This window comes from Homo sapiens, chromosome Y (assembly GCF_000001405.40).
Source record: "Homo sapiens chromosome Y, GRCh38.p14 Primary Assembly".
NCBI classification, from domain to species: Eukaryota; Metazoa; Chordata; class Mammalia; order Primates; family Hominidae; genus Homo; species Homo sapiens.
The window spans coordinates 9,716,315-9,736,285 of NC_000024.10; the positions used below are offsets into that span (position 1 = coordinate 9,716,315).

Genomic DNA, 19,971 nt, shown 5'->3' on the forward strand with positions numbered 1-19,971 from the left:
GGGGGCTGAGAATATTTGCACGTGGCAAGAGGCTTTTGTGTTCTCTGACAGGAATCACTGAACACTACTTGGACTCCAGCACAAGGCAGCTCGTTCTCTTAGGTGAGACTTGATTTTTCTTTGTTTTCATGAGGAATCTACATTATCCCTTAACAGCACTACTGGACACCCATTTCAGGCTTGCTATCCCAACAAATGGCCTCTGAGACACTGTTTTAACCTCGTCTTCACCCAAGAGAGGGCAGTATGAGGTGTGAGAACAGTGATCCAACTTTGACTTGCCTTTGTTGTAGTTTCTGTCTTTCCTTGAGAGCCCCTGCAAGGTCATAGATGAAGGGAGGCAGTGAGGTTAAGAGTCCGACCATCTTTTCATGACACCCACTTCTGGGGTCTCAGGTATGATCCTATCACACAAAACACCCTCAAGAACACATCAGACTATATTTTAATCCCCATGGTACCCAATACTTGCACACAGCCTTTTTTGGGAATGGAATCTGAAGAGTAGTTTCTAGCGACCACCTCACAGTCACAAAATGCCTCCTCCTCCAGCAGAACCTAACCACCACGATGGCCTGAAGGGTCCCTGAGGTCGGGAGTTTTAGTGTGCTTCAGTGGGTTTTTGCAGACAGCCTTTTTCCTGATACCAGGACAACTCTGTCTGTACCATTATTGTCTACTTAGGCAGGCTGATAGCTCTGACAGCCATGCTCCCCAGCTTGCCTCACGAATGTGCATGCACTATCCTCAGGGCACCAGGCCTCATTGTGAACTCTGGCTTGCATCAGCATAAATGTCACCATTACCTAGCAACAAGTCTCTTCAGCTTGGTGAATGAGACTTCTGTAGAGGTGCGTCAGCAGTGAACTATCGCCTGTCTTCTCTGTGAGATCCACAGGATAGTCCCATGATCCTAGGAGAGGGCAGACATGAGGCAGCCTGAAGAAACCTGAAGCACAGCTCCAGGAATAAACCATGAAATCCCTAAGGATCCAAAAAGATCAGCAGGATTCCTCTGGCCTGCCTAGACATTGTAGGGATGAGTCTTCTTGAAACTTGCACCACTGTGATTTCTAACTACAGACTGCCTGCGTTTGCTTGTAGAACCACAGAGCCTCAGGGGATCCTGGATTGTGTGTTTCTGTGGGAGTGTTGTGAGTGTTGGATATCTGTGTGTTTGATGTCTGTGTGTCTGTGTGGCATTGGGTTTGTGTGTGTTTGTGCATGTGTTACTGTAAGTGGAGTCTGCTTATAAGAATGTGGCTAAGGCACTACAGCATTTCTTTCTTTCATTTTTTTGTATCCCAACCTTTTGGTGGCCTGTCTGTGTGGCTTGGCTTGGGCTGTATTGCTCAGTGTTCTTTATTTTTCTGTGAATCATTCATGAGTCTGCAGTGGATTGGGAAGCATGCCAAAATGTTTCAGCATCCAAATAACCTCCACCTGCAAAAACAAAACAAAAAAACAAACAAACAAAAAAACCACTCTAACCCCCTCTTCTAGACAGAAAGGGAGCACACATACAGAAAGTTTCCCAGTTCATAGAGAATTATCCTCATGGAAATCCATTTGTGAGTGTTTTATTCTAAACATTGTCATGTTTTAATGAGTGGGACGCTTTGATAGTTTTAAAACCATAAATTCCCATTAAAGCCATCCAGAAGAAAACTCTTATTCTTCCACTTCTATCAGAGGCCTGCGTGATTCCTGCAGGATGAGAAACAGGCAGCAGTGTCTTCATTTTCCTGGTAATCTAGCCTCTGTTTCATGTCATCTGCATGGCCTTCTTATTGTGGAGGGGCTCTTTCACTGGGATGTTGCCAGATTGGACTGCTTTTCACCATAGATTATTAAGTGGCCAGGGATTTGAGAGACCATAAAAAAGATTGGCTATTCTGGCTGCACTCCAGGTTTTGGGTTGTTGTCTCTTTTTGGGGGTTGAGGATGTTTGCACTTTGGAGGATGGTTTTGGGTCCTCTGACAGGAATCATTGAACATTACTTGGGCTCCAGCACAAGACCGCTTGATCTCTGGTGAGCCTTGATTTTCTGTTGCTTTCACAGGGAATCCACAGTGCCCATCAACAGCACTACTGGACACCATTTAAAGGCTTGTCATCACCACAGACAGCCTCTGAGACACTGTCTATACTCATATGCACTAGTGAGAGGCCAATCCGAGGTACAAGAACACCACTCCAACTTGGAATTGCCTTTGTCTTGGTTCCTGCTTTTCCCAGAGAGCCCTGTGAGGCTCAGAATAAAGGGAGGAAGTGAGGTCAAGAACCTGGACATCTTTCACTAACACCAAACTCTGGGATCTGAGGTATTATTTTATCACCAAAAGAACCCTCAACAACACACCAGATTATATGCCAATCCCCGCTGGACCCGATTCTTGCACATAGGTCTTTCCTGAATGGAGTCACAAGAGCAGTTTCCTGTGACCACCTCACAGTAACATAAAGCTTCTGCCTCTGGCATGACCCGATCACCAAGATGGACTGGAGAGTCCATCAGTTTGACAGTTTTAGGGTCCTGAAGTGGAGGTTTGCAGGCAGCCTTTTTTTTTGATACCAGGCTTGCTCTGCCTGTACCATTTTTCTGTGCTTAGATAGGGTGACAGCTCTGACAGCACAGTACCTAAGCCTCCCTCACAAATGTGCATGTGCTAGTCTCAGGGCACAAGGCCTGATTCTGAGCTCTGGCTAGCATCACAATACATGTCACCATTGCCTAGCAACAAGTCCCTGTGTCTTGTTGGAGAAGAAGATTTCCATGGAAGTGTGTTGGCTTTGGACTGTTGCCTGTCTTCTCTGTGGGATCCATGAGATAATCCCATGTTCCCAGGAGGGTACAGATGTGAGCCAGCCTGAAGTAACGTCAAGCAGAGCCGCAGGAATAAACCACAAAATCCCCAAGGATGCAAAAGATCTGCAGGATTCCTCAGGACTGCCTAGACATTGTAGGGGTAAGTCTTCTTGAAACTTGCCCCACAGTGATTTCTAAGTATATCCCGATTGTTTTTGGGTTGCTCTCTCCAAGGTGGGGATTCCTGCAGAACCATGCAGCCTCAGTAGCTGCCAGTGTGTGTTTATCTGTGGGAGTGTTGTGAGTGTTGTTTGTGTGTGTGTGTGGCATTGTGTGTGTGTGTGTATGTGCCTGTAAGTGGAGTATGCTTAAAATAATGTGGCTAATGCACTTCAGCACTTCTTTTTCGAATCTCCCAACATTCTGTTGTGTGGTCATTGTGGCTTTGCTTGGGCTGCAGGGCTTCATGGTCTTTATTTTTCTGTGGATCATGAATCTGCAGTGAATTGGGAGGCAAGTCGAAATATGCTGGCATCTAAGTCACCTCCCCCTGCAAAAAAAGCCACTCTCCTAGAAAGAAGAGGAGCACACCACACCAAAAATAAGGCATCTCCCAGTGTTTCATTGTCCTGTGGTGAACCCGGGGAGAAACACTAGCAGTCCTGTCTTCAGAGCTGCTTGAATTTACCTCATATTTGGTTCACAGCCAAGCATGTGCTTCATGTTGTGAGTGGCCACTCCAGCATTGCCTTGAAATTTCATCCTCGAACATAATGAGAAGCAATAAGTTCAGGTAGTGTTGAGGATATAATCTGGTGAGCAGTGCATGGGGTCTCACAACATCTCCTGCAAAAAAAAAAAGAAGACAGATGACCCAGAAGGTGCTTCCAACTCCATAGCCAGGTGTTCAGCTGGAAGTACTCCAACATGCAGGGAACATTTCAAGTATAAACTGGGGCCATCCTTTTAAACTCCTGATGTGCAGGCTTTCATACCCAGAGCCAAAGGAGAGTGTAATGGATTGATGCTGGGTGGTATGTGGCCTATACACTTGCTCTTCTTTTTCTGCCTTCCATATTCCTCTTCAGCCTAAGGTTTTCTGGGTCTGGATCCACATCTTCCATACCAAAAGTTTCTCAGTTCACAGAGGAAGACCCTCATGGAAATCCATTGCATGAGTGTTTCTTTCTAAACTCTGTCATGTTTTAATGAGTTGTCAGCTGTGATATTTTAAAAGCTTAAATTTCCATTACAGCTGCCAACATGGAAATTCTTGTTCTCCCACTTTTAACATAGGGTTGCATGATTCCTGTAGGAGGAGAAGCAGGCAGCCATTCTGCATTTGCCTGGTAAACTTGGCTTTGTTTCACTTCATCTGCATGTCCTTCTTCACTGTGGAGTGGATCTTTCATTGGCTCTTGCTGGATCGGACTGCCACTCGCTATAGATCTTTTGGCTGCCAGAAATTTCAGGAAGCAAAAAGAACTTTGTGTAGACTGGCTATGCTCCACGTTGTGTGTTGTGGTCTCCTTGTTGGGGAGCCGATGTTGTTTATGCTTTGCAGGAGGCTCTTGGGTACTCTGACAAAAATCTTTGAATATCGCTTGAACTCCCACACAAGTCTACTTGTTCTCTCAGGCAAACCTTCATTTTTCTTTGCTTTCATGGGGGGTCCACTTTGCACCTCATCAGCACTACTGGACACCATTTTCTGGCTTGCAATTGCCACAGACGACCTCTGATACAATGTCTCAATCTCATCTACACCCGTGAGAGGCCAGTTTGAAGTGTGAGAACAATGCTTTATTTTTGACTTGCCTTTGTCATGGTTCCTGCCTTTCCCTGAGGGCCCCTGAGATAAGCAGAATGCAGGGAGGCAGTGAGGTCAAGGGCCTGTCCATCTCTTGCTGACACCCACCTCTTAGGTCTCAGTGATGATTTCATTACCCAAAGACACCTCAAAGACTCACCAGATGGTATTCCAATCCCCAAGAGAGCAGACTCTTACACACAGTCTCTTTTTGGAATGGAGACAGAGGAGCAGATTGCAGCGACCACCTCACAGTCTCAAAATGACTCCTCTTTCAGTTGGACCTGACCATGGAGACTGCCCAAAAGGGCTCTAGAGTCTAGACCTTTTGGGTAAGGCAGTGGGTTATCTCAGGCAGCCTTTTATCCCACCCTAGTTCAGTTCTGCCTGTACCATTTTCCTCTGCTTAGTCAGGATGACAGCCCTGAGAGTTGGTTACCTGAGCCTGCCTTAAAATGTGCATGGGCTACTCTCAGGATACCAGGCCTGATTGTGAGCTCTAGCTAGCATCACAATAAATGTCACCATTGCCTAGTTACAATGCCCGTGGCTTGCCAGAGAAGAAGACCTCTATGTAGTTGTGTGGGCAGTGGACTGTCACCTGTCTTCTCTGTGAGATTTACTGGATAGTCTCATTACCCTAGGATAGGGTAGATGTGAACCAGCATGAAGAAAGGTAAAGCTGATCCCAGGAATAAACATTGAAAACCCTAAGAATCCAAAAATGTCTGCAAGATTTCATGGGCCTGCCAAGAAGTTTTAGGGGTGAGTCTTTTTGAAACTTGTCCCACAATGATTTCTAGGTACAGTTGCCCTGTGTTCGTTGGGGTTGCTCTCTCCTAGGTCGGGATTCCTGCAGAACCACACAGTCTCAGGTGCTGCCAGGCTGTATTTTTCTGTGGGAGTGTTGTGAGTGTTGGATGTCTGTGTGTGTTTTTGGCATCGTGTTTGTGTGTGTGTGTGTGTGTGTGTGTGTGTGTGTGCCTGTAAGTGGCTCTGCTTAAAATAATGTGGCTGACACACTTCTGAGCTTCTTCTTTTTTTTTTTCTTCCAACACTTTGTTGGCTTGGCTGTGTGGCTCTGCTTGGGTTATGGGTCCCTGTGTTCTTTATTTTTTGGAAGATCATAAATCCGCAGTCAATTGGGAGGCAGGTCGAGAGATGTCTGTGTCCAAGTCATCTCTCCGTACCAAAAAAAGCCAATCTTCTAAAAAGAAGAGGAGCACGTCACACCAAAAATGAGATATTGCCCAGTGTTTCATTGTCTGTCCTTTGGCCAAACGAGGGAGAGACATTAAGTGTCCTGTCTGCAGGGCCACTTGAATTTACCTCAAATTTGTTTCCCACCTGAGGAGGTGCTTTATGTCATGAGGGGGCACTCCACCACAGTCTTGGGATTTTATACTGGGACATAGAGAGTGAGCAGCAATAAGGTCAAATAGGGATGAGGATACAATCTGGTCAGGGTGGATGGGGTCCCACAACTACACCTGTAAAAATAGTGAAGACAGGTGACACAGAATGTGTTTCCAACTCCATCCCCGCATTCCCTTAATTGCACAAGCAGACAACAACATGGCTCGGTGTTCAAGTGAGAGTACTCCAATGTGCAAAAAATATTTGGACTGCAAATTGGGGCCAACCTGGCAAACTCCCGATTTGAGGGCTTTCATACTCAAAGCCAAATGGGAGTGGAATTGATGGATGCTGGGTGGGATGTGGCCTCCAGACTTGCCTCTTCTTTCACTGACTTCCATGTTTCTTGTTGGCCTAGGGTTTCCTGGGTATGGCTCAACCACTTCTACACTAAACGTTTCTCAGTTCATGGAGAATGATTATCATGGGAATCCATTGCATAAGTGTTTCCTTCTAAACACTGTCAAGTTTTAATGACTGGGCAGCTTTGATACTTTTAAAATCATAAATTCCCATTACCACCACCACCACCAAGGAAACTCCCACTTCTATTGGAGGGCTGCATAATTCCTGTAGGATGAGCACTTAGCCATGTCTTGCTTTTGCCTGGTAATCTATCCTCTGTTTCATTTCATCTGGACGGGCTTCTCATCATGGAAGGGCTCTTTCATTAGGCTATTGCTAGATGAGACTGCCTCTGGCCACAGATTAGCTGCCAGTGATTTCAAACAGCAAATGGGACTTCAAGTAGTCTGCCTATGCTCAAGGAGGTGGGTCCTTGTCTCATTGTTGAAACTGATGTGGTTTCCAAATTGCAAGAGGATTTTGGGTCCTCTGACAGGAATCATGAACATCATCTGGACCGCGGAACAAGGCAGCTCATTCTCCCAGGTATGCCTTGATTTGTCTTTGCTTTCCAGGGGAGTTCACAGTGCCCCTCAACAGCACAACAGGACACCACTTTCAGGCTTACCATCCCCACAGATGGCCGCTGAGACCCTGTCTCAACTTCACCTTCATGGGTGAAAGCCCAGTCCAAGATATGAGAACACTGCTCCACCTTGCCCTTGTTGTTGCTCCTGTCTTTCACAATGAGCCCCTGTGAGGCCCAGGATCAAGGAAGGCAGTGAGGTCAAGAGCACTGCTGTCTTTTGTTAACACCTGCCTCTAGATACTCAGGTATGATTCTATCGCCCAAGGAACCCTCAACAATACACCCAAGCACATTCCTATCCCCAGGGGACCAGATTCTTGCACATACCCTCTTTCTGGAATGGACAGTGACCAGCTCACTGCCTCAAAATGCCTCTTCCTCCACCGGGATCCAACCACAGAGATGACCCGAAGGGGCCCTGAGGTTGAGACATTTAGCATCCTGCAGTGGGTTTTCAGAGACAGCCTTTTTCTTGATACCAGGCTGGCTCTACCTGTTCCATTTACCTCTGCTTAGGCAAGCTGACAGTTCTGACAGCTGGCTGCTTGACCTGCCTCATGAATGCATGTGTGCTAGTCTCACAGAATCAGGCCTGATTGTGAGCTCTGGCTAGAATCACAATGAATGTCACAATTGCCTAGCAAAAAGTCCCTGTGGCTTGGCGGAGAAGGAGACCTCCTTGGAGGTGTGTCATCGGTGGACTCATGCCTGTCTTCTCTGTGGTATCCACGTGATTGTCTCATGATGCTAGGAGAGGGCAGATGTGAGCCAGCCTGTAGAAAGGTCAAGCACAGCCCCAGAAATAATCTGCAAAATCCCTAAGGATGCAAAAGGATCTGCAGGATTTCTCAGGCCTACCTAGATGTTGTAGAAGGGAATCTTTTTGAAACATGCCCCACTGTGAAGTACAGCCTGCCTGTATTTCTTGGGGTTACTCTCCCCAAGGTGGGAATCCCTGCAGAACCACACAGCCTAAGTTGGTGCTGGAATTTGTTTTTCTGTGGAAGTGTTGTGATGTTGCTTGTCTGCCTTTGTGTGTGGTATTGTGTATTTCTGTATGTGTGTTCCTGTAAGTGGAGTGTACTTAAAATAATGAGGCTAAAACACTTCAGCACTTCTTCATCTTTTTTTCTTTTTTTAGTCTCCAAACCTTTCTGGTGGATAACTATGTGTGTACGATTGTGTGTTTGTGTGTGTGTGACTGTAAGTGGAGTCTACTTAAAGGAATGTTGCTAATGCACTTTAGCACTTCCTTTTTTTTATTTTTTTGAGTCTCCCAACCCTTGGTGGCATGTCCGTTTGGCTCTGCTTGGGCTATAGGGCTCTCTTCCAGGTGGTGCTGCCTGCACAACAACACAACTTCAGTGGCTGCTGGGCTGTGTGTTTCTGTGGGAGTGTTGTAGTCTAGGATATCTGAGTGTGTGTGTGTGTGTGTGCGCGGCACTGTGTGTGCCAAAAAAGCCACTCTTCTAGAAAGAAGAGGAGCTTTTCTAGAAAAGAGACATCTCCAAATGTTTCATTGTCCTGTGGCCAACCCAGGGAGAAACACAAGCAGTCCTGTCCAAAGGGCCACTTGAATTTACCTTGAGTTTTGTTCCTAGCCGATCAGGTGATTCACATCTTTGGGGGGCAATTCGCCATCATTTTGGGATCTCAACCTGGGACATAAATTGTGAGCAGCAATAAGGTCATTTAGGCGTGAGGATACATTCTGGTGAGGGGTACATGGGGTTCTGCAACATCACCTGCAAATAAAATGAAGAAAAATGGCATGGAACGTGCCTTCAACTCCTTAGCCCAGAGTTCAGGTGAAAGTACTCCAATGTTCAGGGAACATTACAAACTGGGCCCATTCTGGCAAACCCTCAATGTGAGGGCTTTCATACCTGGAGCCAAATGAGAGTGTGATTGATTGATGCTGGGTGGTCTGTGGCCTCCACACTTGCCTCTTCTTTTCCTGACTTCCATGTTCCTTTTCAGCCAATGGTTTCCTGGGTCTTCCTCCATGTCTTCCACACTAAAATTTCCCAGTTCATGGAGGACAACCCTCATGGGAATCCATTGCTTGAGTGTTTCTTTCTAAACTCTGTTACGTTTTAATGACCGGGCAGCTGTGATATTTTTAAAGCGTAAATTCCCGATACAGCCGCCAACATGAAAAACCTTGTTCTCCCACTTTTATCAAAGGGCTACATGATTCCTGTAGGATAAGAAGCAGGCAGCCATGTATGTATTTGCCTGGTAATCTTGGCTCTGTTTTACTTCATCTGCAAGTCCTTCCACGATGTGGAGTGGATCTTTCATTGGCTCTTGCTGAATGGGACTGCTTCTTGCTACAAATCATTTGGCTGCCAAAAACTTCAGGAACCAAAAAGGATTTTTTCTATGCTGACTATGCTGTAGGTTGTGGGCCATGGTCTCCTTGTGGGGGCTGATGTTTTTTGGCATTTGCAGGAGGCTTTTAAATCCTCTGGCAAAAATCTTTCAACATTGCTTAGACTCCCGCACAAGTCAGCTTGTTCTCTCAGGTGAGCCTTCATTTATGTTTGCTTTCATGGGAGGCCCACATTGCTCTGCATCAGCCCTACTGGACACAATTTTTCTGGCTTGCAGTTGCCACAGACGGCCTCTGATATGGTGTCTCAACCTCATTTGCACCTGTGAGAGGCCAGTTTGAGGTGTGCAAACACTTTATCTTGGACTTGATTTTGTTGTGGTTCCTATCTCTCCCCAAGAGTCTCTGTGAGGTCCAGGATGAAGGGAGGCAGTGAAATCAAGGGGCTGGCCATCTTTTGCTGACATCTGCCTCTTGGGTCTCAGTTATGGTTCCATCACCAAAGGACCCATCAAAAACTAACCAGACATATTCCAATCCCCATGGGAATGGAATCTTGCACACAGCCTCTCTGGGGAATGAAGGCAGAGGTGCAGGTTGCAAAGACAGTTCACAGTCTCAAAACAACTCCTTCAGCAGAACTTGACCCCGGAGACTGCCCAAAACAGTCCTATGGTCTAGACTTTTTGGGTCTGGCCGTGGGTTATCACAGGCAGTTTTTCTGGCCATGCCAGGCCAGCTCTGCCTGTACCATTTTCCTCTGCTTAAGCAGGCTGACAGCTCTGAGAGACAGGTGCCTGATCCTTCCTCATGAATGCACAGGCACTAGTCTCCGTGGTATCCATGGGATTGTCCCATGATCCTAGCCTGGAGAAACATCAACCACAGCTCCAGGAATATACTGTGAAATCCCAAAGGATCCAAAAGTATACACAGGAATCCTCAGGTCTGGCATTGTAGGCGTGAGTCTTTTTGAAACTTGTCCCACTGTAATTTCTAGGTACAGTTCCCCTGTGTTTCTTGGTGTTGGTCTCTTGCAGATTAGGATTCCTGCAGAACCACACAGCGACAGGAGCTGCCCAACATTTATTTATTTATTTACTTATTTTGCAGGAGTGTTGCAAGTCTTGGATGTCTGCATGTGTCTGTGGCATTGTGTGTGTTTGTGTGCCTGTAAGTGGAGTGTGCTTAAAATAATGTGACTAATGTACTCAGTGCTTCTTCTTTTTTTTTTTTTTGCCTCCAAACATTTCTGGTGGAGTGTTGTGGGTGTTGGATGTCTGTGTGTGTGTGTGTGTGACATTTTGTGTTTGCATGTATGTGTGTGTGTGATTGTAAGTGCAGTCTGCTTAAAGGAATGTTGGTAATGCACTTCAGCACTTCCTTTTTTTGTGTCTCCCAAACTTTTGTTGGCTTGTCTGTGTGACTCTGCTTGGGCTGTGGGGCTCTCTCCCACATGGTGTTTCCTGCACAACAATGCATCCTGAGTAGTTGTTGGGTTGGGTGTTTCTGTGGGAGTGTTGCGAATGTTGGATGTCTGAGTCTGTATGTGGCATTGTGTGTGCCATAAACCACCCTTCCAGAAAGAAGAGGAGCACACTACACAAGAAAGAGATATCTTTCAGTGTTTTATTGTCTTTTGGCCAACCCAGGAGAGACACTAGCATTCCAGTCCACAGGGCCTCTTAAATTAACCTCGAATTCGCATCCCAGCCGAACAGGTGATTCATATGTTGTGGGGGGTGGGCACATTTTTTTATCATTTTGGGATTTCATCCTGGGACATAGAGTGTGGAGAGCAATAAGGTCAAATAGGGGTGATGATACAATCTGGTGAGGGGTGCATGGGTGACACAACTTTACCTGCAAGAGAAATGAAGACAGATGACACAAAAGGTGCTTTCAACCTCATGGCATGGTGTTCAGTTGGAAGTACTCCAAAGTTCAGGGAACATTTGGACTGCAACTGGGGATATCTTGGCAAACTCCAGATTTGAGGGCTTTCATCTCCACAGCCAAGTGGGAGTGAGATGGATTGAAGGTGGGTGGGATGTGGCCTCCACACTTGCCTCTTCTTTTTCTGACTTCCATGTTTCTCGTGGGCCTAGGTTTTCCTGGGTCTGGCTCCAAGTCTTTCACGCTAAATGTTTTCACTTCATGGAGGACAACCCTCATGGGAATCCCTAGTGTTTCCTTCTAAACACTGTCACATTTTAATGACTGGGCAGCTGTGATATTTTAACACCATAAATTCCCATTACAGCCACCAACAAGGAAAGTCTTTTTCTCCCACTTCTATTGGAGGGCTGCATGATTCCTGTAGGATGACAAGCAGGCCATCGTGTCTGGCTTTTAACTGGTAAACTACGATCTGTTTCATTTCATTTGCACGTACTTTCTCATTGTGGAGGGTGTCTTTCATTGGGTTGTTGCTGGATGGGACTGCCTCTTGCCACAGATCTTTTGGCAGCCAGAGATTTCAGGGAGCAAAAGGGAATTTGCATAGGCTTCTGTGCTCCAGGTTATGGGTCATGGTCTGTATGTGGACGCTGACGTTGTTTGAATTTTGCAGGAGGATTTGGGTCCTCTGATGGGAATCTTGAAACATTGCTAGGACTCCAGCACAAATCGGCTCATTCTCTCAGGAGAGCCTTGATTTTTCATTCCTTTCATGTGTGGTTCACTGTGTCCCTTAACAGCAGTACTGAGTACTTTTTTCAGGCTGGCAATCACCACAGAGGGCATTTGAGACATTCTCTTAGCATCATCTGAATGCATGATTGGCCTTTCGAGGTGTGAGAATGCTGCTCCACCTTGGACTTTCCTTTGTTGTTGTTCCTGGCTTTCCCAGAGAGCGGCAGTGAGGCCCAGGGTGAAGGGAGGAAGTGAGGTTAAGAACCCAGTCATCTTTCACTGACACCCACCTCTGATGTCTCAGGTTTGATTTTGTCAGCTAAAGACCCCTCAACAACACACCAGACTATATTCCAATCCCCATGGGACCCGATTCTTGCACACAGACTCTTTCAAAAATGGAGTCAGAAGAGTAGTTTTCAGTAACCACCTCAGAGTCTGGAAATGCCTCAGCCTGAAGGCAGCCCTCAGGTGGAGACTTTTAGGATCCCACAGTAGCTTATAATAGGCAGCCTTTTTCCCGATACCAAACATTCTCTGCCTGTATCATTTTCCTCTGCTTAGGCAGTCTGACAGCTTTGAGAGTTGGCTTCGTGAATGCCCATGTGCTTGTCTCAGGGCACCAGGCCTGAGCTGTGGTCTCTGGCTAGAGTCACAGTGAATGCCACCTTTACCTAGTGACAACTCCCTGCAGCTTGGCAGAAACGGAGACCTTCGTGGAGATGCTTTGGCTGTGGATTTTCCCCTGTCTTCCCTGTGGGATCCAAGGAATAGTCCCATGATGCTTTGAGAGGGCAGATGTGAGCCAGCCTGAAGAAATGTCAAGAAGAGCGCTGGAAATAAACCAAGAAATCCCTATGCATACAAAAAAAAAAAAATCTGCACAATGCCACAGGCTTGCCTAGAGATTGTAGGGTCAATCTTTTTGAAACTTGTCCCATTGTGATTTCTAGTTACAGCCCAACTATGTTCCCTAGGTTTGCTCTCTCCCAGTGGGGGCTTCCTGCAGAACCAGGCAGCATCAGAAGCTGCCAGGCTGTGTTTCCATGGGAGTGTTTTCTGCAAGTGTTAGATGTCTTTCTGTGTTTGTGGCTTGGTGTGTGTGTGTTTGCATGCATGCCTGTGTGTGTGTGTGCCTGTTAGTGGAGTCTGCTTAAAGAAGTATGGCTAATGAATTTCAGCACTTTTTTGGTGGGGGACTCAAAACCTTTTGGTGGCCTTTCTGTGTGTCTCTGCTTGGGGTCCAGAGCTCCGTGTTCTATGGATTATTAATCCACAGTGAATTGGAAGGTGGGCTGATACCTGCAGGCATCCAAGTCAGCTCACCCTGCAAGAAAATTGACTCTTCTAGAAAGAAGAGGGCACACCACACCAAAAAAGAGACATCTCCCAGTGTTTTATTTTCCTGTGGCCAACACACAGAGAGACACTAGCAGTCCTGTCTGCAGGTCCCCTTGAATATACCTTGAAATTCCCAGCCCAGCAGGCACTTCACATCATGAGGAAACACTCCTCCATCATTTTGGGATTTCCTTCTGGGACATAGAGTGTGAGCAGCAATAAAGTCAGATAGGAGGGAAGATACAATCTGATGAGGAGTAAATGGGGTTCTGCAACTTCACCTGCAAAAAAAATTACATGACACAGAAGGTGTTTCCAACACCATTCCCACATTCTTTTAATTGCACAAGCAGTCCATAAAATGACCCAGTGTTCAGATGGAGTCCTCCAATATTTCAGGAAAAGTTGGACTGCAAATTGGGGCTGTTTTGGCAAACTCCCAATTTGAGGGTTTTCATACCCAGAACCAAATGGGAGTGGAAAGGATTGATGTTGAATGGGATGTGGCCACTTTTCTCTTCTTTTCCTGACTTCCATGTTCCTTGTCAGCCTACAGTTTCCTGAGTCTGGCTTAATCACTTGCACACTAAAGGTTTCCCCCTGCATGGAGAATAACCCTCTTAGGAATCCATTGCATGAGTGTTTCCTTCTAAACACAGTTATGTTTTAATGACTCGGCAGGTTTGATATTTTTAAAATTGTAAATTGCCATTACTGCCGCCAACAAGGAAACTCACCGTACTATATTCCAATCCCCTTGGGACCAGATTCTTGCATACAGTTTCTTTTGGAAATGAAGTCAGAAGAGCAGTTTCCAGCCACCACTTCACAGTCCTGGAATGCTTCATACTCCAGTGGGACCCGACCATGTAGATCACAAGACGTGGTCCTAAGTTGAAGACATTTAGAGTACCGCAGTGTGTTATCTCAGGCAGCCTTTTTCTAAATACAAAGCTGGCTCTACTTGTACCATTTTCCTCTGCCTAGGCTAACAGGTCTGAGAGCTGTGTGCATGAGCCATCCTCGCAAATGCATATTCGCTAGTGTCAGGGGCACAAGGCCTTAGCTTTGAGCTCTGGCTAGCATCACCATGAATGTCATAGTTGCCTAAGTCTCTGCATCTTGGCAGCTGAGAAGGAGACTTCTGTGGAGGTGTGGATCCTCGAGATAGTCCCATGATCCTAGAAGAGGGCAGATGTGAACAAGCCTGAAGAAACATCAAGCAGAGCTTCAGCAATAAACCATGAAATCCATAAGGATCTAAAAGGATCTGCAGGATGACTCAGGCATGCCTAGATGTTGTAGGGGTGAGCCTTTTGAAGCCTATACCCCACTGTTTTTTGAAGGGTTTTTTGTGTGTCTATTTCCTTCAGTTCTGCTCTGATCTTAGTTATTTCTTGCCTTCTACTAGCTTCTGAATGTGTTTGCTCTTGCTTCTGTAGTTCGTTTAATTGTGATGTTAGGGTGTCAATTGTAGATCTTTCCTGCTTTCTCTTGTGGGCATTTAGTGCTATAAATTTCCCTCTACACACTGCTTTGAATCCAGGAGCTGGTTTTTTGAAAAGGTCAACAAAATTGATAGACTGCTAGCAAGACTAATAAAGAAGAAAAGAGAGAAGAATCAAATAGATGCAATAAAAAATGATAAAGGGGATATCACCACTGATTCCACAGAAATACAAACTACCATCAGAGAATACTATGAACACCTCTACAAAAATAAACTAGAAAATCTAGAAGAAATGGATAAATTCCTCAACACATATACTCTCCCAAGACTAAACCAGGAAGAAGTTGAATCTCCGAATAGATCAATAACAGGCTCTGAAATTGAGGTAATAATTAATAGCTTACCAACCAAAAAAAGTCCAGGACCAGATGGATTCACAGCCAAATTCTACCAGAGGTACAAGGAGGAACTGATACCATTCCTTCTGAAACTATTCCAATCAATAGAAGAAGAGGGAATCATGCCTAACTCATTTTATGAGGCCAGCATCATACTGATACCAAAGCCTGGCAGAGACACAACAAAAAAGAGAATTTTAGACCAATATCCTTGATGAACATTGATGCAAAAATCCTCAATAAAATACTGGCAAACCGAATCCTGCAACACATGAAAAAGCTTATCCACCATGATCAAGTGGGCTTCATCCCTGGGATGCAAGGCTGGTTCAACATATGAAAATCAATAAATGTAATCCAGCATATAAACAGAACCAAAGACAAAAACCACATGGTTATCTCAATAGATGCAGAAAAGCCCTTTGACAAAATTCAACAACCCTTCATGCTAAAAACTCTCAATAAATTAGGTATCGATGGGACATATCTCAAAATAATAAGAGCTATCTATGACAAACCCACAGCCAATATCATACTGAATGCACAAAAACTGGAAGTATTCCCTTTGAAAACTGGCACAAGACAGGGATGCCATCTCTCACCACTCCTATTCAACACAGTGTTGGAAATTCTGGCCAGGGCAATCAGGAAGGAGAAGGAAATAAAGGGCATTCAATTAGGAAAAGAGGAAGTCAAATTGTCCCTGTTTGCAGATGACATGATTGTATATCTAGAGAACCCTATAATGTCAGCCCAAAATCTCCTTAAGTGGATAAGCAACTTCAGCAAAGTCTCAGGATACAAAATCAACTTGCAAAAATCACAAACATTCTTATACACCAATAACAGACAAACAGCCAAATCATGAGTGAACTCCCATTCACAATTGCTTCAAAGAAAATAAAATACCTAGGAATCCAACTTACAATGGATGTGAAGGATGTCCTCAAGGAGAACTACAAACCATTGCTCAATGAAATTAAAGAGGATACCAACAAATGGAAGAACATTCCATGCTCATGGGTAGGAAGAATCAATATCATGAAAATGGCCATACTGCCCAAGGTAATTTATAGATTCAATGCCATCCCCATCAAGCTACCAATGACTTTCTTCACAGAATTGGAAAAAAAAATACTTTAAAGTTCATATGGAACCAAAAAAGAGCCTGCATAGTCAAGTCAATCCTAAGCCAAAAGAACAAAGCTGGAGGCATCACGCTACCTGACTTCAAACTATACTACAAGGCTACAGTCACCAAAACAGCATGGTACTGGTACCAAAACAGAGGTATAGACCAATGGAACAGAACAGCGCCCTCAGAAATAATGCCGCATATCTACAACTATCTGACCTTTGACAAACCTGACAAAAACAAGAAATGGGGAAAGGATTCCCTATTTAACAAATGGTGCTGGGAAAACTGGCTAGCCATATGTAGAAAGCTGAAACTGAATCCCTTCCTTACACCTTATACAAAAATTAATTCAAGATGGATTAAAGACTTACACATTAGATGAAAACCATAAAAGCTCTAGAAGAAAACCTAGGAAATACCATTCAGGACATTGGCATGGGCAAGGACTTCATGTCTAAAACACCAAAAGCAATGGCAACAAAAGCCAAAATTGACAAATGGGATCTAATTAAACTAAAGAGCTTCTGCACAGCAAAATAAACTGCCATAAGCATGAACAGGCAACCTACAGAATGGGAGAAAATTTTTGCAACCTACTCATCTGACAAAGGGCTAATATCCAGAATCTACAATGAACTGAAACAAATTTACAAGAAAAAAAACAAACAACACCATCAACCAGTGGGCAAAGGATATGAACAGACACTTCTCAAAAGAACACATTTATGCAGCCAAAAAACACATGAAAAAATACTCACCATCACTGGCCATCCGAGAAATGCAAATCAAAACCACAATGAGATACCATCTCACACCATTTAGAATGGGGATCATTAAAAAGTCAGGAAACAACAGGTGCTGGAGAGGATGTGGAGAAATAGGAACACTTTTACACTGTTGGTGGGACTGTAAACAGTTCAACCATTGTGGAAGTCAGTGTGGCGATTCCTCAGGGATCTAGATCTAGAAATACCATTTGACCCAGCCATCCCTTTACTGTGTATATACCCAAAGGATTGTAAATCATGCTGCTATAAAGACACATGCACACGTTTGTTTACTGCGGCACTATTCACAATACCAAAGACTTGGAACCAAACCAAATATCCAACAATGATAGACTGGATTAAGAAAATGTGGCATATTTACACCACGGAATACTATGCAGCCATAAAAAATGATGAGTTCATGTCCTTTGTAGGGACATGGATGAAGCTGGAAACCATCATTCTCAGCAAACTATCACAAGGACAAAAAACCAAACACCGCATTTTCTCACTCATAGGTGGGAATTGAACAATGAGAACACGTGGACACAGGAAGGGTAACATCACATACTGGGAATTGTGGGGTGGGGAGAGGCGGGAGGGATAGCATTAGGAGATATACCTAATGGTAAATGATGAATTAATGGGTGCAGCACACCAATATGGCACATGTATACATATGTAACAAACCTGCACATTGTGCACATGTACCTTAAACTTAAAGTACAATAAAAAAAAGAAACTTACCCCACTGTGATTTCTAGGTACAGCCCACCTGTGTTCCCCAAAGTTCCTCTCTTTCAGTTAGGGCTTCCTGCAGAAGCACGCAAACTCAGAAGCTGCCGTGCTGTGTGTTTCTGTGGAAATGTTGAAAGTGTTGGATGTCTGCATATCTGCGTGGCTTTGTGTGTTTGTGTGTGTGTGTGTGTGTGTTTATGTGTTTGTGTGTGGCTGTAAGTGGAGTCTGCTTAATGGAATGTGGATAACGCACGGCAACACTTCCTCTTTTTGAATCTCCAAACCTTTTGGTGGCCTGTTGGTGTAGCTCTGCTTGGGTTGCAGGGCTCCATCTCCGTTATTTTTCCGTGGAGTATGAATTCTCAGTGAATTAGGAGACAGCGCATCACACTCCAAAGCAAATATCTCTGTGTTTCATTGTCCTGCGGCAGACCCAGGGAGAGAAACTAGCAGAACTATCTGAAGGGCCCTTTGAATTTACTTTGAATTTGGTTCCCAGACAAGCAGAGGCTTCATGTCGTCATGTGGCACTCCTCCATCAACTTGTGATTTCATTCTAGGACAGAGAGTATGAGCAGAAAGAAGGTAAAATATGGGTGAGGATACAATCTGGTGAGGCGTAAATAGACTCCCGCACTTTCTCCCGCAAAAAAAACGTGAAGACTGATGACGCAGAAGCTGCTTCCTATTGCATCCCCACATTCCTTTAATTGCAGAAGCAGTTCACATTATGGCCCGGTGTTCAGGTGGGAGTAATACAATGTTCAGGGAACATTTGGAGTGCAAGTTGAGGGCATTCTAACAAACTCCCAATTTGAGAGCTCTCATACCCTGAGCCAAATGAGAGTGGGATGTATTGATGGTAGGTGGGATGTGCCCTGCACACTTGTCTCTTCTTTTCCTGACTTCCATGTTCCTCATGGCCTAGGATTTCCTGGGTCTGGCTTCACACTTTCCACACTAAGCAATTCACAGTTCATGGAGGACGACCTTCATGGGAATCCAATGCATGAGTGTTTTCTTCTAAACACTGTCACGTTTTAAAGGCTGGGCAGATGTGATGATTTTAACACTGTAAATTTTCATTACAGCCACCAACAAAGAAATTCTTATTCTCTCACTTTTACTGGAGGGATGCATGATTCCTGTAGCATAAAAAGCAGGCAACTATGTTGGGCTTTTGCCTGGAAATCTAGCCTCTGTTTCATTGCATATGCAAGTCCTTTCTCTTTGTATACAAGGTCTTTCACTGGGCTGTTGCTGGATGGGACTGCCTCTCACCACAGATCTATTGGCTGCCAGGGATTTCAAGGATGAAAAGAACTTCAGGTAGGCTGACTCCCTCCGGGTTGTGGTTTTTGGTCTCATTGTGAGTACTGAGGTTGTTTGCACTTTTCAGGAGGCTTTTGGGTACTCTGCCTGGAAACATTGAACATTGCTTGGACTCCAGCACAAAACAGGTCATTCTCTGAGGTGAGCTTTGATGTTTCTTTTCTTTCATAGAGAATCCACAGTACCCTACAAATGCACTGCTGGTCAGTTTCAGGCTTGCTATCACCACAGAGGGCATCTGATACATTGTCTCAACCTCATCTGCACCCGTGAGAGACCAGACCGAAGTGAGAACACTGACCCATGTTGGACTTCTCTTTGTCATGGTTTTTGCCTTTTGCAGAGGGCCCCATCAAGGCCCAGGCTGAAGAGAGACAGTGAGGTAAATAGCCCAGCCATCTTTCATTGGCACCCATCTCTGGGGTCTCACGTATAATTCTCTCACCCAAAGAACCCTCAGCAACACACCAGACCAAATTCCAATTCCCATGAGACCCGATTCTTGCAAAAAGCATCCTTTGGGAATGGAGTAGGAAGAGCAGTTTCCAGCCACCACCTCACAGTCTCAAAATGCCTCCTCCTCCAGCCGGTCTCAACCATGCAGATGGCCTGAAGGGGCCCTGAGGTCGAGACTGTAGAGTCTGACCATGGCTTCTAGCAGGCAACATTTTCACAACACCAGACCGGTTTTACCTGTACCATTTTTTCTCTGCTTAGGCAGGCTGACAGCTCTGACAGCCATGCACTTGTACCTGCCCCGGGAATGCATATGCACTAGTCTCAGGGTACCAGTTCTCATTGTGAACTCTGGCTAGCATCACAATGAATGTCAGCATTGCCTAGAGACAAGTTCCTGCCTCTTGAGGGA

The 19,971-nt window shown here is 45.1% G+C and overlaps 1 long non-coding RNA gene across 1 annotated transcript; it reads right to left on the minus strand.

Moving 5' to 3' along the window:
• Positions 1-1,338: 1,338 nt before the first annotated feature.
• TTTY21 (testis expressed transcript, Y-linked 21) lies at positions 1,339-4,982 on the minus strand. The gene is made up of 2 exons (NR_001535.1): positions 4,781-4,982; positions 1,339-1,443 (listed from the first exon to the last, which is right to left on the minus strand). It is a non-coding gene; the product is annotated as a testis expressed transcript, Y-linked 21 (long non-coding RNA).
• Positions 4,983-19,971: the final 14,989 nt, after the last annotated feature.